The sequence below is a fragment of the Homo sapiens genome, chromosome 11 (genome assembly GCF_000001405.40).
Source record: "Homo sapiens chromosome 11, GRCh38.p14 Primary Assembly".
NCBI lineage: Eukaryota > Metazoa > Chordata > Mammalia > Primates > Hominidae > Homo > Homo sapiens.
Window position 1 is genome coordinate 57,697,391 of NC_000011.10, and position 22,702 is coordinate 57,720,092.

Consider the following 22,702-nt stretch of genomic DNA (forward strand, 5'->3'; position numbering starts at 1 on the left):
AAGCGGAGCTTGCAGTTAGCCGAGATCATGCCACTGCACTCCAGCCTGGGCAGCAGAGCGAGACCGCATCTCAAAAAAAAAATAAATAAATAAATACAAAAATTATCTGGGCGTGGTGGGGGGGCACCTGTAATCCCAGCTATTCGGGAGGCTGAGGCAGGAGAATCACTTGAATCTGGGAGGTGGAGGTGGCAGTGAGTCGAGATTGCGCCACTGCACTCCAGTCTGGGTGACAGAGTGAGAGTCCATCTCAAAAAAAAAAAAAAAAAATTAGCTGGTAGTGGTATGCATCTGTAGTCCCAGCTACTTGGCAGGCTGAGGCAAGGAGAATCGCTTGAACCTGGGAGGAGAATTGCTTGAACCTGGGAGGTGGAGGCTGCAGTGAGCTGAGCTCCCACTGCTGTATTCCAGTCTGGTGACAGAGTGAGACTACACCTCAAAAAAAAAAAAAAAAAAAAAAAGGCCAAGCACAGTGGCTCAAGCCTGTAATCCCAGCACTTGGGGAGGCTGAGGCAGACGGACCACCCGAGGTCAGGAGTTTGAGACCAGCCTGGCCAACTTGGTGAAACCCTGTCTCTACTAAAAATACAAAAATTAGCTGGGCGTGGTGGCGGGGCGCCTGTAATCCCAGCTACTCGGGAAGCTGAGGCAGGAGAATCGTTTGAACCTGGGAGGCTGAGGTTGCAGTGAGCCAAGATTGCACCATCACGCTCCAGCCTGGGCTTAAAACACACACACACACACACACACACACACACAAACAAATGCCAACTGTTACGGGAAAAAAAGAAGATTAGGGGAAGGAAAAGGCAGAAGAAAGGACATTTCACTAATTGTTGGCATTCGTGGAACTCAATCTCCTTGATACTGTGTCCTTCATCAGACTGGGCAATATAGCATAATAGATTAGTGCTTGATCCGAGTTTATAACCCAGTTCTGCCCACGGGCGAGATACTCAGCCTTTCTACGTCTTGCTTTCTGTATCTGAAAAGGAGATGATATTTGCCTGAATTCAGTTTTTCTTGAGGGATTAACCCAGATAATGCATGTAAGAGTTCTAAGCTTATTATTGGCACATAATTCTCTTTTTGACCAACTCCTTGAGCTCTGGGGTCTAGCTTCTGTCACAAAAGGAGCACTAAGAGCCTGCTTTACTTTCTTCCTCAGTTGAGTCGTGGGGACAGCTTGAAGGAGCCAACCTCAATTGCAGAGAGCAGCCGTCACCCCAGCTACCGCTCAGAGCCCAGCTTGGAACCAGAGAGCTTCCGTTCTCCTACCTTTGGCAAAAGTTTTCACTTCGATCCACTATCCAGTGGCTCACGCTCCTCCAGCCTCAAGTCAGCCCAGGGCACAGGCTTTGAGCTGGGCCAGTTGCAATCCATTCGTTCAGAGGGCACCACCTCCACCTCCTATAAGAGCCTGGCCAACCAGACACGCAATGGAAGCCTATCTTATGACAGCTTGCTCACACCTTCAGACAGCCCTGATTTTGAGTCAGTGCAGGCAGGGCCTGAGCCAGACCCACCTTTAGGCTATACCTCTCCCTTCCTGTCAGCCAGGCTGGCCCAGCAACGGGAAGCTGAGAGGCACCCACGTTTGGTGCCAACTGGCCCAACACACCGAGAGCCCTCACCAGTCCGTTACGACAATCTGTCGCGCCACATTGTGGCCTCTCTCCAGGAACGAGAGAAGTTGCTGCGCCAGTCACCCCCACTCCCGGGCCGTGAGGAAGAACCAGGCTTGGGGGACTCAGGCATTCAGTCAACACCAGGCTCGGGCCATGCCCCTCGTACTAGTTCCTCCTCAGATGATTCAAAGAGATCACCTTTGGGCAAGACTCCACTGGGACGCCCAGCTGTCCCCCGTTTTGGCAAGCCAGATGGGCTAAGGGGCCGGGGAGTAGGGTCCCCTGAACCAGGCCCAACAGCCCCATACCTGGGCCGATCGATGTCTTACAGCAGCCAAAAAGCCCAACCTGGTGTCTCTGAGACAGAAGAAGTGGCCTTGCAGCCATTACTGACACCCAAGTAAGTATTAGTACTATCCTGACCCTTAGCCAATTTCAAATTAGCATACTGCTCTGCAAAAGCTATCAGGGCTTCTGTTGTACATCCTAATGTAGGTGGACCCAGGGGTATCCTGGTAGCTCTTTATTTTCACTTTGACTCTACCTGCCTTCATGGGCAATTCCTGTTAAGAGACTGAAGATTAATACTTTTTCCATAATGCTATCTTCCTAAAAGTATTTGCTTGGGAGTAAGTACATGTGATAGCTGTTACTAGAGAGTAGTAGTACATAGGAGAGATTGGGAATCAGGCTTATTTTAAGCAGGGCAATAAAGGGGAATGTTTGGGTAAGAAAGTATGGATATAGAAAAGAACATCATTTTTTTCTCTGAACCTTTGAAACTGTCTCCCTTTCCAATGTTTTCTGTCCCATTTCCTGACACCTACGTCTTGTCTCTTCTTTCCAGAGATGAAGTACAGCTGAAGACCACCTACAGCAAATCCAACGGGCAGCCCAAGAGCTTAGGCTCAGCCTCCCCTGGCCCAGGCCAGCCACCTCTCAGTAGCCCCACGAGGGGAGGAGTCAAGAAGGTGTCAGGGGTTGGTGGTACCACCTATGAGATTTCGGTGTGAGCCTTCGGCACCTCCCCTCCCCAACGCCTCTGCGCCTACACCAAAGGGCCCCAGGTGGCCACCTTCCTTCCCTCAAGGGGCTCCCCTCCCGTGCATGGACATTTTTTAAACCACCGATTCCAAGAGGATGAGGAGTGTTTTCTAAAATGCAGTAGGCTTGGGGAGTCGGAGAGTTGGGGCCCTGAGACTGGGGTAGCAACCCCCCCTTTTATCTTTTAAGACCTTCCCTTCCTTGATCCCTGGACCAGACTCAGTGGACATTTGTGCAATTGCTCGCCCTGGAGGGAACCAGATCATTTTTAAACCAGAAATAATTTTTTTTATTATTGTTACGGATTCTATTTTTTTCCTCTTCTGCGTTACCAGGTGTGTGTGTACATATAATATATATATATATATATTATAAATATCAAAGAAATTATATATCTATCCTGGGATGGGAAAATGAGGGAGGGATACATATACGGAGGGGGATCTTACTCTTCCCATTCCTCAGACCAGCAGGAAAAGAGGGGAGACGTCAGTCTTTTTCCTGTGGTTCCCTCTCATTTGTCCCAGTTACTAACTACGGAAATAGCATCCTCTGCTGGTGCTAAGTGTGATTAGGAAGAAGCCTGGGGAGAGGTGAGTCTGGAATTTTGGTCACAAGAGGGAAGGACTTGGAGAGGAGAATTAGTTTTCTAGGCTCATTGGCATTTAGTTTCCCTAGGAAAGGGGTCAAAACTTCAAGACACTGGTGGTGGTGGGAGATCAGGAAAATAACTTGGCCTAGCTCAAACAATATTGGATAATCCCCTCCTTGGGGGAGAGGGATTAGAGTGTGCTCCTACTGGCCCCTTGGAGCCTCCCCTAGCTTACACAGTTAACTTGATTTTAAAATCCAAGGCCAGGAGAGAAGAATCCAAAAAGCAATATTTTTCATCACATGCCAAAAACGGGGGATAGAGAGAAGGAGTGGCAGGCCTAGGCCCCTCCGATTGTCCCTTGGGGGTTACCCCTCAGCCCACCTCACTATGGTGCTGGGTAGAGGGGATACCTGGGTTCTAACCTCTAAATAGGGGAGATCCCAGCCTCCACAAAGAGGCCCTTTTATTTTTTATTCTGATTAGCCATTTTAAACCAACGAGGAATAAAAAGAAATCCTGATCTAACCAGCGCCCCCTGACTTGTGTTATTTTGTCTGGTTGAGACAGGGTGAACGATCTCTGGTGGGAAGTTATCAGTGACAACCTCATAAACTTCTCTGGTCCCAGCCCATCTTTAGGCAAGACTATAATGAAATTAGCCACTTAACAACTAAAAAAATAAAAAAGAGACCCAGTGCGGTGGCTTATACCTGTAATCCCAGCACTGAGGGAGGCTGAGGCAAGAGGATCACTTGAGCCCAGGAGTTCCAGACCAACCTGGGCAACATAGAGACTCCATTTCTAAAAACAACAGGTCCTGTTTTTATTTGGGTGATTTAATTCAAAAATTCCTGAAAAAAGGTCTCTTGAAATCACCAAAACTGCTTGTTATTTGAAAGCTTAGAGAACTCTTAAAAGTTGTTTCTTTCAAGAGACAGGGCCTCATTCTGGTTGCCCAGGCTGGAGGGCAGTGGCACAATCAGATCACTATATCCTCAAATTCCTGGGCTCAAGGGATCTTCCCACCTCAGCCTTCTGTGAAGCTAGGACTTACAGTTGCATGCCACCATGCTTAGCTAATTTTTTTTTTTTTGGTAGAGATAGACTCTCAACCAATTTTGCCCAGACTGATCTCGAACTTCTGGCCTTGAGCAATCCTGCCTTGGCCTCCCAAAGCATTGGGATTACAGGCATGAGCCACCATGCCCAGCTACAGTTGTTTTTTAATACAGGATTTAGTCTCTGGAAAGTAAAGCTAATTTTGGAAACAGCCAAAGGTGACATAGTAACAGGTATGAAAGCCTGTTGAAGGCAGGTTAACTAGATATCGGTGTCAGTTCAATTAGATATATTGCATTTTATTGGACAAAAGCTGTGCTCTAATTTTAAATAGGTATCCTTAGACACTAAATCTCAAGCAGTTGACCAGAGCCCTTTAATTACTCAAAATTTAAGAATATAAGCTCTTAGCCGGGCGTGGTGGCTCACGCCTGTAGTCCCAGCACTTTGGGAGGCCGAAGCGGGCTGATCACAATGTCAGGAGATCGAGACCATCCTGGCTAACACAGTGAAACCCCATCTCTACTAAAAATAACAAAAAACTAGCCTGGCGTGGTGCGGGCGCCTGTAGTCCCAGCTACTTGGGAGGCTGAGGCAGGAGAACGGCGTGAACCTGGGAGGCGGAGCTTGCAGTGAGCCGAGATCACGCCACTGCACTCCAGCCTGGGTGACAGAGCAAGACTCCGTCTCAGGAAAAAAAAAAAAAAAAAAAAAAAAAAAAATATATATATATATATATACTCTTATTTGGGTGCAGTAGCTCACACCTGTAATCCCAGCACCTTGGGAGGCTAAGGCAGGTGGATCACCTGAGGTCAGGAGTTCAAGACCAGCTTGGCCAAAATGGTGAAACCCCGTCTGTACTAAAAATGCAAAAATTAGCTGGGCGTTGGTTATGGGTGCCTGTAATCCTGGCTATTTGGGAAGCTGAGGTGGGAGAATCACCTGAACCCAGGAGGTGCAGGTTGCAGTGAGCTGAGATTGCACTACTACACTCCAACATGGGCGACAGAGCAAGACTCTTTCTCCAAAATTTAAAAAAAAAAAAAAAAAAAAAATATATATATATATATACAAAAATTAGCCAGGTGTGGTGACGCACACTTGTAGTCCCAGCTACTTGGGAGGCTGAGGTACAAGAATCACTTGAACCCAGGAGGCAGAGGTTGCCGTGAGCCGAGATCATGCCACTGCACTCCTGGGCAACAGAGCAAGACTCTGTCTCAAAAAAAAAAAAAAAAAAAAAAAAACCCAGCAAACTCTTATTCTGAAATCCTGGATTTAAACCAGCTGAATGAGTGGTTTTCCACCCACTGATTCAGGAACAACCTTGGCTTTCACGGCAACAGATTTTAACTGTGTTAAATTTAAAGTCAGATTACATTAATTCAGGTTTTCTCATGGATGTTTTCAGTTACCTAACCAGCTGGAAAAACTAAAAGTGTTTTTTGTTTTTGTTTTTCACATTTTGATGGTTTAGGCTACATTTTGTTGCTGTTTTAGAAATGTTTTCACATCAGCTAAATAACTTTATTGTCTTAACTAAGGACCGAAGCAGGTCAAAAGTTCTTGTAAAGAGAAGGGAAGCTTTACCTTTGCTTGCCAGAAGTTCATCTCAAAAGATCACAGGCTTCTGACCTAAAGAACCAATCTTGTTGAAACACATGGGTGACTGTCCATGTGTTTTCAGTTGGCTATTCTCTTTCGACACAAAATTGACCTAGAATACACTGTTGAGCCCTACCTGGATCAGCTCTTCAGATGGAGCCTGAGATCACCGAGGCGCTTGGTTCTCAACATAATGGGCAGAGTGTTACGTGTCTGCTGTGGAGTATTAGTAAGCTTGGGTCACTTTTCATTTTGGTTGGTTCCCTGCCTGCTAGTGAGATCATGTAATGACAAGACCCAAATCCCCTCAAGTCTTAGGAATGCCTTGTCTTAAATCCTGATTCACAGAAAGGCACATACCTCTTAACAGGCAGTCACACTTCAGCCAGTTTGATAAATGTAATTTTTTTTTTTTTAAAGAAAACACAGAACAAGTCCTAAATCAGACAAATTGCACAAAAGAGAGAGAAGAAAATTGTAAGCTTCCTGGGAGAGGAAGAGATGTCCATGAGAAAACCAACTGGGATGAGCCTACAAAAGCATGTCCCTCTCTCTCCTAATTTACTTAGTCTCAACTGAGCCCAACAGGAGCTGGCCTCTGTCCCAGCTGCAGGATGCTCCCAAGGCAGTGTCCAAGAGCCTGGAAGGCAGCTTTTATCAGCAGGTTCAGTACAGCAGGAAAAGCCATCCTGGCAAAGAGTCCAGTGGTCCTATTAGCGTAGGCTGCTGCTGCTGCTGGCCTGGGAGCTGCCCATACCTGGGTGGTCTGGACTATGTCGATTCTGGGGGAGAAAGAAGCAGGGTAAGAACAACTAGGAACTAGCCTTGGCTTTGATCAGGCTGTACAGGAGAAACCTGCAACCTGCCTTGGGTTTTCAATCTTGGGTCCAACTTGAGGCAAAGAACTCTAGGGTATTTAGGACAGGGGTGAGATCTGGGGAAACTCACTGGGTTGTGGCAATAGGCCTCTACTCTACCTTCTTTTTCTTCTTCTCTTTCTTCTTCCTTTTCCGTTCAGGATCCTCTTCTTTTTTCTTTTTCTTCTTCTTGTGATCTGAATCAGATGGTGTTTCTGTAGGAGACATTAGGTACCTATCACCTGTAAAGCTCAAAATCCTCTACTGTTATGAACCACTGAAGACTACAGGAAAATCCCAAGTCGGGGCAACTGCTTTTGTCCAAATGGCCAGAAAGGATACAGAGGTGCTGCTAGAGTCCCTGTCCCAAGTCCCAAGAGACCACAGTACATTGGTTTCTTCTTCAGGGGAATTTAGGAGTCCAGAGCTCCATACGGAACTTAACTGGGTTTACCTATGGAAGTTCAAACCAGATTCAGAAGGTCAGGTTTTTTTTTTTTTTTTTTTTTTTTTGCTTTGAATAGAACTGCTTCTTACCTGGGGGGACAGGATCCTGGGTACGGCTCTGTTTGTGCTTGTGCTTATTCTTCTTCTTGGGAGGCTGAATATGCATCAGACGACACTGCTCCGGCAACTGAAGGAACCAAAGGAAGGTCCAGGTGAGTAGAGGGAGGAAATCTCTCCTGCTCTTATCATCCATTCTGCTCCATTATGAAGGAACAGACTTGGAGAGAAAAACCATCTCCATGTTTAGGCCTCCCCATTTGCCTTCTTCCTCCAACAGGACTCACCGGGCCAGTGTGGAGGCGGAAGCCGGCCAGCATGGTCCCTGTGATAGGATTGAAAGAGCTACTGAGAATAGGGGGCTTCTCAATGAGAGAGCGGAGGCTGCTGTTATCATGGGAACCAGGCAGATCAATCATCCCTGGCAGGTCAGGCAGGAAGTTACTTAGCTTCTCCTTCACCTTCTTCCCACAGAATTTATTATAGGCTTGTTCCAAGTTGTAGTGTGTGATCAGATTCGTGCTGCCTGTCAGCTCTGTGCTACCTAGACAACGCAGAATAAAAATAAAAAAGATCAGTCTTCAAAGTAGACCCAGGGAGTGAAGGACTATATATTAACCTAAATAAGACATTTTTTAAGTGCAGATTTTAAAATTTAAAATTTATTTTTAAAGAAACAGAGCAGGCCGGATGCAGTGGCTCATGCCTGTAATCCCAGAACTTTGGGAGGCTGAGGCGGGTGGATCACCAGGTCAGGAGATCGAGACCATCCTGGCTAACAACACGGTGAAACTCCGTCTCTAGTAAAAATACAAAAAATTAGCCAGGCGTGGTAGCACGTGCCTGTAGTCCCAACTACTCAGGAGGCTGGGGCAGGACAATCACTTGAACCCGGGAGGTGGAGGTTGCAGTGAGCTGAGATTGCGCCACTGCACTCCAGCCTGGACAACAGCGAGACTCTGTCTCAAAAAAAAAAAAAAAAACAGCAAAAGTAAATAACATGAAAAGTATAATACAACACAATGGTAGGTTCCAATGGGAAGGGGAAAAACAGGCAAAAATCCAATAGGGCAGAGACAGGAACTGCTCTAGCCCAATGAAGGAGACACTCCACTCTCTTAAGATTAACTGGAGTTGATTTATATGATGCTTGCTTCGTGGTAAATGCTGTTCTGAGTGTTTCTCATAAAATGTATTAGTGAAAAATTATATTCTCTGACACAGCTAGGAAAATACGACCTTGCAGCTCAGCTACAACCATGCTCAGGGGGCCAAATATGACCCAGTGACTTAAGGGTCTTGTCAAGGACTTTTTTTTTTTTTTACTAGCAAGAAACACTAATCACCTTTACATAAGAAAAGAACTGGGAGATTTTTTTCTAGCTACCACTGCCTAACTTGTTACCAACATCTTTATTCTTCCTCGTGATACTGAGTATGATGCCTTGCCTAAAAGGAATAAATGTTTTTTGTTTTTGAGACGGGAGTTTTGCTCTGTCGCCTAGGCTGGAGTGCAGTGGGGTACGATCTTGGCTCACTGCAACCTCCGCCTCCTAGGTTCAAGTGATTCTCCCACCTCAGCCTCCCAAGTAGCTGGGATCACAGGCACACACCACCATGCCTGGCTAATTTTTTTCTAGTAGAGAAGGGGGTTCACCATGTTGAGTAGGCTGGTCTTGAACTTCTGACCTCAAGTGATCCGCCACCCCCCGCCGCCTCGGTTTTCCAAAGTGCCGGGATTACAGGTGTGAGCCACAGCACGCATCCAGGAAGAAATGTTTGATTAGAAGTCAGTCAACTAATGGCCAGGCGCGGTGGCTCACGCCTGTAATCCCAGCACTTCAGGAGGCCAAGGCGGGCAGCTCATTTGAGGTCAGGAGTTCAAGACCAGCCTGGCCAACATGGTGAAACCCTGTCTCTACTAAAAATACAAAAATTAGCTGGACAGTAGTGGCACACACCTGTAATCCCTGCGAGGCGGAGGTTGCAGTGAGCTGAGATCAGGCCACTGCACTCCAGTTTGGGTGAGAGAGTGAGACCCTGTCTCAAAAAAAACAAAACAAAACAAAACAACAAAAACAAAAAAACAAGTCAGGCAACTAGAATTATTCTGGCTGTCTTCCATGCCTCAGTTTCCTCTTATCTGTGGAATGGAATAATAGCTATCTTACATACACATAATTTTCTCCCAAGGTTCAAATGAAAATATGCTGAAAAGCATAAAGTATCAGGCTTGGCACAGTGGTTCATGCCTGTAATCCCAGCACTTTGGGAGGCCAAGGCAGGCAGATCACCTGAGGTCAGGAGTTTGAGACCAGCCTGGCCAATATGGTGAAACCCCATCTCTACTAAAAATACAAAAATTAGCTGGGTGTGGTGGCATGCGCCTGTAGTCACAGCTACTTGGGAGGCTGAGGCAGAAGAACTGCTTGAACCCGGGAGGTGGAAGTTGCAGTGAGCTGAGTTTGCACCACTGCACTCCAGCCTGGGTGGGAGAGTCAGATTCCATCTCAAAAAAAAAAAAAAAAAAGTATTATATGTATGCAAGGCACTATCCATATAAATATTGCATGGCTGATTCTTTTTTAAAAAATATACATTTATTAGTAACTTAATAAGGACCTACTAGCAAGGGTAGAAATAGCTAACTACAACTTCATTTGTAATTATGATAGACACAGAGGGTACAAATGACAAAAATGGCTTGTTTATAATCATTCACTTGGGAAAACTGAGGTACTGAACTGTAAGCTCCTTGGAGGCACAGACAATGTCTTGTTCATTCATGTATCGCTAGTGCCCAGCACAGTACACACATTAGGTGCTTAATAAATATTTATTAAATAAACAAGGCACTTTCCCTCTATACCTCTAGGCCTTATTCATCCTTTTCCTTCCCTTTACTACCAAACAACTCAGAAGACTGAGCGAGGGTAATGGCAGGAGACCCAATGTCACAGTATCTCTCCTCATAACTCTGGGCACTGCCTCTTGCCATTACAATCTTCTGAATTTCCCCTGCTCTGCCAACTCTCCTCTGTCCAGATGGTTATCCTTAAGGCTCAGGTGAGAAGGCAGTCTGTGCTTTTTCTAAACTGTAACTTGAGAGTTCAAATTCCAGTTTTGACTATTCTACAAAGATTACTTTTTATATTTATTTATTTTTTGAGACAGTCTCGCTCTGTCACCCAGGCTGGAGTGTAATGGCACAATCTTAGCTCACTGCAATCTCTGCATCCTGGGCTCAAACTACTTTCCTGCCTCAGCCTCCCAGGTAGCTGGGACTACATGCATACACTGCCATGCTAGGCTAATTTTTGTATTTTTTGTAGAGACAGGGGTCTCCCTATGTTGCCCAGGCTGGTCTTGAACTCCTGGACTCAAGCTATCTGCCTGCCTCAGCCTCCCAAAGTGCTAGGATTACAGGCGTGAACCACCCTGCCCAACAAGATAAAAAAAAAAAAAATTGTTTTGAAATTCCAAATCTTGCCAACATCACTCAGGGCTTCTCTATTTCAATCCATGGCACCCACATGTTCCAGATATTTTTGGAAATCAGTACTCCTCAGTTCACAAATCTTAATGGTTTCTTTTTGCCCTCAGGAGAAAGCTCAAATTCCTTTGACTGGCACTCAAGGCTAATTACATCTTACTCCAACTTAGCTTTGGGGCCTCATCAACCACTACTCTCCTATGCAAAATTTCTGATCCATCCAAATGGATCTCCTTATCGCCTCAAAAAAACACCCCTCACATTATTTCATCTTAGGAAAATTCTTCCTAATTTTTCTTCACCAATATGGATTATTCAAGGTCTAGCTCAAGTGACATCTTATTCTCACTGTCATTCTGGATAGCAACACACTTTGAAAACCATTAGGTAGTTCTTAATATTGATGGCTAAGATATTGTTAATTGCTGTTGTGAGGCATGAGCACAAAATGAGATGGAGGTGACAGGAAATATAGTCACTATCCTTAAACCACAAATTTTACATTCCTAACTAAACTCCTTGAAAAGCAATGACCAGCATTACTAATCTCTCTCTCCATCTCACCCGCCTCATACACCCAGCATTTGCCCAGAACATATATTCAATATCTGTCAACTGACTGATACAAATAGCTACAATCAGAATAGGGAAGGCAAAAGAAAGATTAAAAGAAACCGCTGGTGGACATCAACCACTAACTAATCAAAGGGATGTCAACTTCTCCATGTTTCAGTTTTTTCAATTATAAAATGTAGACAGTAATGCTACCTCAAAGGGCTATTCTAAGTATTAAATACTACTTATATTAAATACTGCATGTAAGTGTGTTGTGAACTTCAAAGTACTATACCAATATTTGTTGCTATTTCCCTCAAGTCATGATGTGGAAATAAGACTTGAGACAATGAAAGGCATCTGGGAGGCTGGGCGCAGTGGCTCACGCCTGTAATCCTGGCACTCTGGGAGGCCAAGGTGGGCGGATCACCTGAGGTTGGGAGTTTGAGATCTGCCTGACCAACAGGGAGAAACCCTGTCTCCACTAAAAATAAAAAATTAGCTGGGTGTGGTGGCACATGCCTGTAATCCGAACTACTCGGGAGGCTGAGGCAGGAGAATCGCTTGAACCTGGGAGGCGGAGGTTGTGGTGAGCTGAGATTGTGCCATTGCACTCCAGCCTGGGCAACAAGAGCAAAACTCTGTTTAAAAAAAAAAAAAAAAGAGGCATCTTGGAGACCAAACATGTCCAAAATAACTCTTGATTTCCACCTCTTCAAACTTGTTCCTTCCTCATCTTCCAAGTCTCCGTACCCATACACCCAATTATTCAAGCCGAAAACTTAAAAAGGCATCAATTCCTCTATTTCCTTCACTTCTATATACAATATATATTTTTAATTGAGACAGGGTCTTCCTCTATCATCCAAGCTGGAGTGCAGTGGCACAATCATGGCTCACTGCAGCCTCAACTTCCTGGGCTCAAGTGATTTCTACCACCTCATCTTCCTAGGTAGCTGAGACTACAGGTGCATGCTGCTATCCCTAGCTAATTTATTTTTATTTTTTGTAGAGATGGGGTCTCATTATGTTGCCCAGGCTGGTCTCAAACTTTTGGGCTCAAGCAATCCTCCCACCTCAGCCTCCCAAAGTGCTGGGATTACTGGCGTGAGCCACAGCGCCTGGCCCTGTATTCAATTTTTCAACCCTGTCAGCTCTACCTCTAACATCCTGTATCCATTTACTTCTCTATGCCCTGCTATGCTCTGGTTCAAACCATTATCTTTCCTGGACTACTGAGCAGTAACTTCTGACTAATTTCCCCACTTTCTATTTGTCATGTGGCTGCTTAAATGATTATAAACAAGTGCATTTGACCAACTTCCTATGTTAAAATGGCTTTCCTTGGCTGGGCACAGTGGCTCAGACCTATAATCCTAGCACTTTGGGAGGCCAAGGCGGGAGGACTGCTGTTGGCCAGGAGTTCAAGACCAGCTTGCGCAACACAGTAAGACCCAGTCTCTACAAAAAAATTTTAAGTTAGCCAACTGTGGTGGTGCATGCCTGTAGTCCTAGCTACTTGGAAGGCTGAGGTGGGACGACAGCATGAGCCTAGGAACTGGAGGTTACAGTGAGCTATGATTATACCACTGCAGTCCAGCCTGGGTGACACAGTGAGACCTTGTGTCTATAAAAAAATTTTTTAAATGGCTTCCTTTTGTATTTACAATCTAAATGCCTTTACTGCTTTATAAAAGCCTCTGCCTAACTCTCCCAGCTTCATCTCTCTCCCTAACACTCTTTCCTTTTGTTCACTTCACTGGAGTCCAACTGATTTTCTGTCCCTCAGATATTCTAAGCTTTTTCTCACATCAGGGTTTCTGACCTCATTTCTTGTATCTACAATTGTCTCTCCCTCCTGTCCATACATGGCTGGCCCTTTGTCTATGCTTACATTTTAGTTCAAATGTTAGCTATGTGAAGAGAGCATCTCTGGCCACTCTAGCTAAAGTAGTTCTGCCCCTCAATTTTTTTTTTTTAAGAGACAGGGTCTCATCTGTTGCCCAGGCTGGAGTGCAGTGGCACAATCTTGGTTCACTGCAGCCTCGACCTCCTGTGTTCAAGCGATTCTCCTCCCTTAGCCTCCTGAGTAGCTGGGGCTACAGGCATGCATTACCACGCCCGGTTAATCTTGTATATTTTGTAGAGACTGGGTCTCGCCATGTTGCCCATGCTGGTCTCAAACTCCTGGGCTCAAGGGATTCTGCCTCGGCCTCCCAAAGCGCTGGGATTACAGGCGTGAGCAACGCGCCTGGCCACCTTCAATTTTTATCATGTTTTCTTTTCCTAGCATTAACCACTTTCTGACATTATCTTGTTTACAATGCCTCCTCCACTGAAATGTACATCCCAAAAAAGGCAAGCATCTTGTCAGTCTTGTTCACAACTGTCTCCAGCATTTAGAAAAGTGCTTGGTACATAGGTACTCAACAAAATAATTTTTTGAATGAAGAGTTTGGTTCGATTCTTATCCCTTTTTTGATCAGACCAGGAAATGCCGGAACCTTAGAAGGAAGAATGGCAACTTGCCCCAAACCAATAGCAAGTCTGTGGGAGACCTGTAACTAAAACTTTGGGTCCCCAAAGATATTAAATCAGGCCTCTCGAGTTCCAAACTCAAACCCTGGATTTTGTTTGTTTTGAGACGGAGTCTCGTTCGCCCAGGCTGGAGTGCAGTGGAGCAATGTCGGCTCTCTGCAACCTCCGCCTCCCGGGGTTCAAACGATTCTCCCGCCTCAGCCTCCCGAGTAGCTGGAATTAAAGGTATACGCCACCACGCCCAGGTAATTTTTGTGTTTTTTGTGGAGACAGGGTTTCATCATGTTGGCCAGGCCGGTCTCGAACTCCTGACCTTAGGTGATTCGCCCGCCTCCGCCTCCCAGAGTGTTGGGATTACAGGCGTGAGCCACCGCGCCCAGCCCTAGGTCATTTTTTAGAGAGACATAAACCAGTGTCAGGGACACAGCCTGGACATGGTGCAAAAGACAGTAACGGAGATGCACTACGCCCCTGCCCGCCATTCATCCCTTTGGTTGAATTCAACTCATCCTGGTTGAATTCAAGTCATCCCTCTGCTTGTGAATCCTAACAGCGCTTCCGACTTAGGGCTCCACAGTCCGGGTATGCGTTGCCTAGGTTACCTCGCACCTCCGCTAGCCGGCTGAGAGCCACGCCCATCACCTCCTCTCTAAGATTTGATTGGCTGGCTTTGGCAAGGCCGAGTACTCACCTGGCAGTTCCCTCATGAGGTAAAAAGGGCCACAGCCAGCTCCTGACTTGTCCGCGCCAGGAGGAGCCGTGGCCGCGGTGGGAGGCGGGGCCGTGCCGGGTCCCCCGCCCGCAGGAGGCGGTGGCGGGGGTGGAGGCTTTCCTGGTCCGAAGCCGAGTGCGGTTGGGGGCGGTGGTGGGTCAGCCTGAGCCCCAAACAGTGCCGTGAAATTCTCCATCGTACCCTCCGCCCCGGCGCTGTCTCCGTGTCTGCCGTTGGTAATTTTCATTGGACAATGCTTTCAAGGAGTACCCCCCCGCCCTTTCTCAAGGAGCCGCTTGTCATTGGATGCCTCAGGCACCGCCTACCTTTTTTCAACAACTACTTCCGTCGCCTTATGAGAACGTTCAGGAAGTGCTATTTAACCTTATTAGAGTCTTCTGCTAGCTCTGCTTGCTACAGTCCAATAAAATGACTTAGGCGGATAAAGCGACAACTAGACTAACCAATAAAATATTAAGTTCTTTTTTGGGTTCTGACCTACCACAGCGTTCAGAGAACTACATCCGGGTTTAGAGGCCGTACGTTTGCGATATAGCCCAATAGCAGTCGTTATGGTGGGGGAGGCGGGGCGAGACCTACGACGCCGGCGAGCAGTGGCCGTTACGGCCGAAAAGATGGCGGTCTTGGCACCTCTAATTGCTCTCGTGTATTCGGTGCCGCGACTTTCACGATGGCTCGCCCAACCTTACTACCTTCTGTCGGCCCTGCTCTCTGCTGCCTTCCTACTCGTGAGGAAACTGCCGCCGCTCTGCCACGGTCTGCCCACCCAACGCGAAGACGGTAACCCGTGTGACTTTGACTGGGTGAGCCTCCCGCGTGTTAGTACCCCGCGACCTTGACTGTCCCTGCCCTTGCAGGTGTATCTGGGAACCCTGGGGTTTACCTCTCTGAGGACACCTGAGGTTCCGAGCCTGTAGCGGACTTAGAGACTATTAAGTGCAGGGTCCGAACCATCATCGAGTCTAAACTTTGTGTTTAAGATGGGAAAACGGAACATGTTAGTCGTAGCCCATGCACAACGGCCCAACAGCTTTTGACTGTTGAGTCCAGGTTTCTTTCTGTTTCACCATTGAGACTAATTAACAGCCCTATCAAAACTGTACATACACGTGTATAACGTTTTACAGTGCCGCTCATTATGTAAAGCCTCCTGAGGAGCCAGTAAGGTAGACAAGGCAAGTAGTAATATTCCTGTTTCATTGGTGAAGAAATGGATCTCGGTATATTTAGGTGACTTGCCCCAGGTCATACAACTAATGAGTGCCTGGGACTTGAAACTACTCTTCTGGCCACACTACCTGCACAACACTGTCAGCCGCTTCTTAATTCAATAAACATTTCTAGAGTGTACACTCTAGGCACTCTGCTTGATCCTGAAGATGCGAAAGTGGATAAAATTTGGGGGCTACTGTAAAGGAATTGTAAAAAATACGTTGTAAAGAAATCTTTGGGATTTCTTTGGGAAGTGTCCCAAGCTCCTTGCTGTGCTTCCTTGGTATGGGTGGAGGGACTGCTCGGAACATAAACTTAAAGCACTTTCCCTTCTGCCATATAGCATGTAGGGGCCAAGGAAAAGCTTCCCCTTTGCTCTCTGAGGGTTTGTTGAAAAATCAACCGACAAAGGGCACATTAATAGGAGAAAGGCATAGAAATTTTATTTTAACGTGCATAGCATGAGGGAATTGCAGGAGAATGACCCAGTGGGGTACAGATGCTTATATACCCTCTTTCATAGGAATATGGGAGATGGGAAAATGTGGGTGATTTTAAGGTGGATCGTAAATGATTTTTAGGGTGATTCAGTGGCCTGGAGAACATACAGTGGCCTGGGACAATGACTGTTGGGCCTGCAGAGCAGACAATGGTTTCTGACAAAAATCTGTCCAGGTGTGTTGACAGGCTTCCATCTTTCTTCTTGTACTGAAGTAAGTTAATGAAAACTCAGGGAAGAGACCAGAAGTAATTGTTGTCTTCTTTGACAGGTCTGGACTTTAGGCAGATAAGGTAGTTATCAGAGTAAAGCTGCTTCCAGTATCTGCTGGTTTCCAGGGACCTTTAATTTAAAATGATTAGCATACAGGATGCCATATTTTGGGGTGTGAGTCCCTGGTCTTCTTTATTTCCTTTGTCTGAAACTTCCTTAGAAGTTTCACTATAAGCTGAGTTGGTGTCTGTGGAGAGAGAAATCGGGCTAGTAATTGAGCGGCAAAGGATCCCATTAAACCAGCCTCTCATTTTGGGGGATAGTCCAGTTCAATTAAATTGTTGTGTCTCATTTCAGAAGATGGCATTGTAGATGAGTTCTCAAAGCTAGGCCTCTGTATATGATGTAGGCAAACAGGTATTTAATAAGAGAGACATTTCTATGGAACAAGACAAACAAAGCTTAATATCTGGTATAGTCTATAAACTAGTTTCTTTAGAGTCTGGAGGGCAGTCAATTGGGAAGATTAATAGCAATCTATTTTCCTAGATTGTAGGTTGTGTGTAAAGTTTGTCCAAATATAAGCTTTTGTGGTGATTTTTTTTTCAAAGTCACGTTGACTAGCTTTAGCTGGTAAGGCCTTAGGAAAAAGGCAGGGTTTTTAGTTTTTTGGATTTTTTTTTGAGACAAGGTCTTGCTCTGTCATCCAAGCTGGAGTGCAGTGATGTGATCATGGCTCACTGTAGTCTTAACCTCCTGGGCAAAGCCATCCTGCCACCTCAGCTTTCCAGGTAGCTGGAACCAAAGGCATGCACTACACACCTGGCTAATTTTTAAAAATTTTTTTTCAAGGTGGGGTCTCTTGATGTTGCCCAGGCTGGTCTTGAACTCCTGAGCTCAAGGGATCCTCCTGACTTGGCTTCCTAAGGAGCTGGGATTTACAGGTGTGAGCCACTGCGCCAAGCTAAAAAAGGCCGTTTTAATTTTTAGTGATTCTAAGTCAGAAGAGTGGGTGAAAAATGGAAAACATTAGTCTGGAGGTTAGCAATTTTATGAGTCCAGTTTTATTTTCATTAGACTTTGGAAATTTTTACCCAGTCCGGTGATACAGTTTCAAAGTTATCAGAAACCTTTATTTGTCAGCATTCTTCCCATGCTTTCCATGATCCTCCTTGAAAATAAGACACTTGGCCAGGCATGGTGGCTCACATCTGTAATCCCAGCACTTTGGGAGGCTGAGGCGGGTGGATTTCCTGAGCTCAGGAGTTCGAGACCAGCCTGGCCAACATGGTGTAACCCCGTCTCTACTAAAAATACAAAAAATTAGCTGGGTGTGGTGGTGGGTGCCTGTAATCCCAGCTACTCTGGAGGCTAAGGCAGGAGAATCACTTGAACCTGAGAGGCAGAGGTTGCAGTGAGCCAGGATCGTGCCATTGCACTCCAGCCTGGGCAACAAGAGCAAAGTTCTGTCTCAAAATAAATAAATAAATAAAATTAAAAAAATATATTTTATATATAATATATATGTATTAATGTGCTTTTAATACTAAAGCTGATTTTAATAAACTTTACAAACAAATCTGTCTAATCTTGATCAGCTTTGACTAGACAAGATAAAATTTCCATAAACCTTTTATAACCTCTTAGAATTTGTTTTCTTTTTTTTTTCTTTTATTGATCATTCTTGGGTGTTTCTCGCAGAGGGGGACTTGGCAGGGTCATAGGACAATAGTGGAGGGAAGGTTGGCAGATAAACAAGTGAACAAAGGTCTCTGGTTTTCCTAGGCAGAGGACCCTGCCGCCTTCCGCAGTGTTTGTGTCCCTGGGTACTTGAGATTAGGGAGTGGTGATGATTCTTAACGAGCATGCTGCCTTCAAGCATCTGTTTAACAAAGCACATCTTGCACCGCCCTTAATCCATTTAACCCTGAGTGGACACAGCACATGTTTCAGAGAGCACAGGGTTGGGGGTAAGGTCACCGATCAACAGGATCCCAAGGCAGAAGAATTTATCTTAGTACAGAACAAAATGAAAAGTTTCCCGTGTCTACTTCTTTCTACACAGACACGGCAACCATCCGATTTTTCAATCTTTTCCCCACCTTTCCCCCCTTTCTATTCCACAAAACCGCCATTGTCATCCCGGCCCGTTCTCAATGAGCTGTTGGGTACACCTCCCAGACGGGGTGGTGGCTGGGCAGAGGGGCTCCTCACTTCCTAGTAGGGGTGGCCGGGCAGAGGCGCCCCTCACCTCCCGGACCGGGCGGCTGGCCGGGCGGGGGGCTGACCCTCCCACCTCCCTCCTGGACGGGGCGGATGGCCGGGCGGGGGGCTGACCCCCCCCCACCTCCCTCCCGGATGTGGGGCTGACCCCCCCACCTCCCTCCCGGACGGGGCGGCTGGCCGGGCGGGGGGCTGACCCCCACACCTCCCTCCCGGACGGGGCGGCTGGCCGGGCGAGGGGCTGACCCCCCCACCTCCCTCCCGGACGGGGCGGCTGGCCGGGCGGGGGGCTGACCCCCCCACCTCCCTCCCGGACGGGGCGGCTGGCCGGGCTGAGGGGCTCCTCACTTCCCAGTAGGGGCGGCCGGGCAGAGGCGCCCCTCACCTCCCGGACGGGGCGGCTGGCCGGGCGGGGGGCTGACCCCACCTCCCTCCCGGACGGGGCGGCTGGCCGGGTGGGGGGCTGACCCCCCCACCTCCCTCCCGGACGGGGCGGCTGGCCGAGCGGGGGGCTGACCCCCCCACCTCCCTCCCGGACGGGGCGGCAGGCCGGGTGGGGGGCTGACTCCCCCACCTCCCTCCCGGACGGGGTGGCTGGCCAGGCAGAGGGGCTCCTCACTTCCCAGTAGGGGCGGCTGGGCAGAGGCGCCCCTCACCTCCCGGACGGGGCGGCTGGCCGGGCGGGGGGCTGACCCCCCCCACCTCCCTCCTGGACGGGGCGGCTGCCGGGCGGAGACGCTCCTCATTTCCCAGACGGGGTTGGTGCCGGGCAGAGGGGCTCCTCACTTCTCAGATGGGGCGGATGCTGGGCGGAGGGTCTCCTCACTTCTCAGACGGGGCGGCTGGGCAGAGACACTCCTCACCTCCCAGACGGGGTCGCGGCCGGGCAGAGGCGCTCCTCACATCCCGGACGGGGCGGCGGGGCAGAGGCGCTCCCCACATCTCAGACGATGGGCGGCCGGGCAGAGACGCTCCTCACTTCCCAGATGGGATGGCTGCTGGGAAGAGGCGCTCCTCACTTCCTAGATGGGATGGCGGCCGGGCAGAGACGCTCCTCACTTTCCAGACTGGGCAGCCAGGCAGAGGGGCTCTTCACGTCCCAGACGATGGGCGGCCAGGCAGAGACGCTCCTCACTTCCCAGACAGGGTGGCGGCCGGGCAGAGGCTGCAATCTCGGCACTTTGGGAGGCCAAGGCAGGCGGCTGGGAGATGGAGGTTGTAGCGAGCTGAGATCACGCCACTGCACTCCAGCCTGGGCACCATTGAGCACTGAGTGAACCAGACTCCGTCTGCAATCCCGGCACCTCGGGAGGCCAAGGCTGGCGGATCACTCGCGGTTAGGAGCTGGAGACCAGCCCGGCCAACACAGCGAAACCCCGTCTCCACCAAAAAAGTACGAAAACCAGTCAGGCGTGGTGGCGCTTGCCTGCAATCGCAGGCACTCGGTGGGCTGAGGCAGGAGAATCAGGCAGGGAGGTTGCAGTGAGCCGAGATGGCAGCAGTACAGTCCAGCTTCGGCTCGGCATCAGAGGGAGACCGTGGAAAGAGAGGGAGAGGGAGACCGAGAGGGAGAGGGGAGAGGGGAGAGGGGAGAGGGGAGAGGGAGAGGCAGAGGCAGAGGCAGAGGCCAGAATTTGTTTTCATTCTTTATTTTCTTTCCCTAGCTTTTTATTGTTGTTGTTATTTAGTTTTTATTTCATAATCATAAACTTAACTGCAATCCAGCTAGGCATGTAAGGGAACAAGGAAAACACGGAACCCAAAGGGAACTGCAGTGAGAGCACAAAGATTCTAGGATACTGCGAGCAAATGGGGTAGAGGGGTGCTCTCCTGAGAGGAGAGCACAGAAGGAATGGTCTGGTGGTGAAGACAAAACAAGTCAAACTTACTAGACTTATCCACAGTCAGCAATGGTGATCTTCTTGCTGGTCTTGCCATTCCTGGACCCAAAGCGCTCCATGGCCTCTGCAATATTCATGCCTTCTTTCACCTTGCCAAAGACCACATGCTTGCCATCCAACCACTCACTCTTGGCAGTGTAGATGAAAAGCTGGGAACCTTTTGTGTTGGGTCCAGCAATTGCCATGGACAAGGTGCCAGGACCTGTATGCTTTAGGATGAAGTTCTCATCATCAAATTTCTCCCCATAGATGGACTTGCCACCAGTGCCATTATGGCGTGTGAAGTCACCACCTGATACATAAACCCTGGAATAATTCTGTGAAAGCAGGAACTCTTACAACCAAATCCTTTTTGTCCAGTGCTCAGAGCACGAAAGTTTTCTGTTGTCTTTGGAACCTTGTCTGCAAACAGCTCGAAGGAGATGCGGCCCAGGGGCTCACCATCCACGGTGATGTCAAAGAACACGGGGTTGACCATGGCTGATAGTACAGGGCTCCTGGTGGTGGCAGCAAAGCCTCTTTGCCCAACTTTTTATATCTGTTTAGTTTTATCTATATCATTGTTTTCCTCCATTCATTTATTCTGAAATAACCCCCCCTCTTTTTTTTTTTTTTTTTTTTGAGATGGAGTCTCACTCTGTTGCCCAGGCTGGAGTTCAGTGGTGTGATCTTGGCTCACTGCAACCTCCGTCTCCTGGGTTCAAGTAATTCTCCTGCCTCAGCCTCCCGAGAAGCTGGGACTACAGGTGCCTGCCACCACGTCTGGCTAAATTTTGTATTTTTAGTAGAGACGGGGTTTCACCATGTTGGCCTGGCTTGTCTCTTAACTCCTGACCTCATGATCCGCCCGCCTTGGCCTCCCAAAGTGCTGGGATTACAGGTGTGAGCCACCGCGCCCAGCCACAAAGGATTTTTAAAAAGAGCTTTCTGGTCAGAAGTTGGCTTAACTAAAAGCTGATATTCAGGCCATATATATATATATTTTTTTTTTTTTTTTTTTTTTGAGACAGAGTCTCACTGTCACCCAGGCTGGAGTGCAGTGGTGCAATCTTGGCTCACTGCAACCTCCATCTCCTGGGTTCAAGCGATTCTCCTGCCTCAGCCTCCTGAGTAGCTGGGATTACAGGTGCACGCCACCACGCCCGGCTAATTTTTTGTATTTTTAGTAGAGACGGGTTTTCACCATGTTGGCCAGGATGGTCTCGATCTCCTGAACTCGTGATCCAGCTGCCTCGGCCTCCCAAAGTGCTGGGATTACAGGCATGAGCTACCGTGCCTGGCCAATTTTTTTATTTTTTAAAGGCTTTCTGCTTTTTCTCTTTTGGATCTCATGCCCTGGGAAATTTTTTCAGTTCACTGAAACCCCCTTTAAAAAAAAATTATGTTTAGTCCTTGTGTTCACTTCCTTTCTTGTTGGCATGATCTTTGCTGAGAAAAATGTAAAATTTCTTTTTTCTTTGTCTTTTTTTTTTTTTTTTTTTTTTTTGAGACAGGGTCTCACTCTGTTGCCCAGGCTGGAGTGCAATGGTGAGATGTCACCTTACTGCAACCTTGACCTCCCGGGCTCAAGTATTCCACCTCAGCCTTCTGAGTAGCTGGGATTATAGGTGCACACCACCACGCCCGGCTAATTTTTGTATTTTTTGTAGAGATGGGGTTTCGCCATGTTGCACAGGCTGATCTTGAACTCCTGGGCTCAAGTGGTACATTTTCCCTCAGCCTCCCAAAGTGCTGGGACTATAGGCATGAACTACTGCACCCTGCCTTGAAAATGTAAAATTTCATTAGCCTTTTGGGGAAGCTTAAAATCTCTCCAAATTGGCTTCTCCAAAACTGGTTGTTCCATGTATTTCTACTTCTTCCTTTTGCCACCTTTGATAACCCTTAAAGGGGTCTAGATGGGACTTCTGACAACCCTGAGATCCCTTGAGGAAGACAAAAAAAAGGTGCCACTGGTTGGGCGCGGTGGCTCACGCCTATAATCCCAGCACTTTGGGAAGCTGAAGCAGGTGGATTACCTGAGGTCAGAAGTTTAAAATC

The 22,702-nt window shown here is 47.7% G+C and overlaps 3 protein-coding genes, 1 long non-coding RNA gene and 1 pseudogene across 23 annotated transcripts in view, besides 3 other annotated features; 3 read left to right on the forward strand and 2 right to left on the reverse strand.

Moving 5' to 3' along the window:
- ZDHHC5 (zDHHC palmitoyltransferase 5) overlaps positions 1-3,792 on the forward strand; it is a 33,069-nt gene extending 29,277 nt beyond the window's left edge. For 4 of the 5 annotated variants that reach the window (XM_011544900.2, NM_015457.3, XM_011544901.2 and 1 more), the window contains exons 11-12: positions 1,169-2,028; positions 2,476-3,792. In XM_011544900.2, coding sequence (XP_011543202.1) covers positions 1,169-2,028; positions 2,476-2,641 — 1,026 coding nt within the window. In that variant the 3' untranslated portion in view covers positions 2,642-3,792. Of the gene's footprint in view, positions 1-1,168; positions 2,029-2,475 lie in introns of those variants that run through there. The other variant, XM_047426724.1, reaches the window with a different exon arrangement.
- Positions 3,793-6,318: 2,526 nt separating this feature from the next.
- Positions 6,319-14,825, reverse strand: MED19 (mediator complex subunit 19). 3 transcript variants are annotated; one of them, NR_157587.1, is made up of 5 exons: positions 14,573-14,825; positions 7,583-7,839; positions 7,329-7,425; positions 6,912-7,245; positions 6,319-6,716 (listed from the first exon to the last, which is right to left on the reverse strand). NR_157587.1 is itself a non-coding variant. In NM_001317078.4 (5 exons), the coding sequence occupies exons 1-5, from the start codon at positions 14,787-14,789 to the stop codon at positions 6,648-6,650; spliced, it is 735 nt and encodes a 244-aa protein (NP_001304007.2). In that variant the 5' UTR covers positions 14,790-14,825; the 3' UTR covers positions 6,320-6,647. The 3 variants fall into 3 exon arrangements, 2 of the variants coding, with proteins under 2 accessions (NP_001304007.2, NP_703151.3); NM_001317078.4 differs by having other exon boundaries at positions 6,320-6,716; positions 6,912-7,006; NM_153450.4 differs by having other exon boundaries at positions 6,320-7,245.
- Positions 6,745-7,944: an enhancer, noted in NCBI's record as "BRD4-independent group 4 enhancer chr11:57471607-57472806 (GRCh37/hg19 assembly coordinates)". NCBI's record gives its function as "activates an origin of replication core promoter dependent on BRD2, P300/CBP, MED14 and CDK7 cofactors, and independent of BRD4, by STARR-seq in HCT116 cells {active_cell/tissue: HCT116}" and the evidence as "EXISTENCE:reporter gene assay evidence [ECO:0000049][PMID:35650434]".
- Positions 14,456-14,795: a silencer, noted in NCBI's record as "silent region_3357". NCBI's record gives its function as "represses an Ori minimal core promoter by ATAC-STARR-seq in GM12878 lymphoblastoid cells {active_cell/tissue: GM12878}" and the evidence as "EXISTENCE:reporter gene assay evidence [ECO:0000049][PMID:35858748]".
- Positions 15,133-22,702, forward strand: part of TMX2-CTNND1 (TMX2-CTNND1 readthrough (NMD candidate)) — a 106,658-nt gene continuing 99,088 nt past the window's right edge. Inside the window, 1 exon segment of the long non-coding RNA NR_037646.1 lies at positions 15,133-15,417. This is a non-coding gene — a long non-coding RNA (TMX2-CTNND1 readthrough (NMD candidate)).
- The window catches only part of TMX2 (thioredoxin related transmembrane protein 2), a 28,381-nt gene continuing 20,881 nt past the window's right edge, over positions 15,203-22,702 (forward strand). For 11 of the 14 annotated variants that reach the window (NR_144934.2, NR_144935.2, NR_144933.2 and 8 more), the window contains exon 1: positions 15,203-15,417. Coding sequence is in view for 5 of the 14 variants with exons in the window: in NM_001347890.2 (NP_001334819.1) it covers positions 15,229-15,417 (189 nt within the window). In the remaining 9 variants the exon portion in view is untranslated. The remainder of the gene's footprint in view (positions 15,418-22,702) is intronic. The other 3 variants (NM_001347891.2, NM_001347896.2, NM_001347892.2) reach the window with 1 other exon arrangement.
- Positions 18,163-18,673: an enhancer, noted in NCBI's record as "NANOG-H3K27ac hESC enhancer chr11:57483025-57483535 (GRCh37/hg19 assembly coordinates)". NCBI's record gives its function as "activates a minimal SCP1, AML or CMV promoter by ChIP-STARR-seq in primed H9 embryonic stem cells {active_cell/tissue: H9 hESC(primed)}" and the evidence as "EXISTENCE:reporter gene assay evidence [ECO:0000049][PMID:30033119]".
- On the reverse strand, positions 20,459-21,176 carry PPIAP42 (peptidylprolyl isomerase A pseudogene 42; annotated as a pseudogene).

Bases quoted from the DNA above. Each gene is read 5' to 3' on its own strand.
- MED19 (NM_001317078.4), bottom strand. From the start codon at position 14,789: ATGGAGAATTTCACGGCACTGTTTGGGGCTCAGGCTGACCCACCACCG. The intron at 7,426-7,582 runs GTGAGTCCTGTT...TGGTTCCTTCAG, and splicing joins TCCGCCTCCACACTGGCCCG to TTGCCGGAGCAGTGTCGTCT. The intron at 6,717-6,911 runs GTAGAGTAGAGG...TTTCTCCCCCAG, and splicing joins AAGAGAAGAAGAAAAAGAAG to AATCGACATAGTCCAGACCA.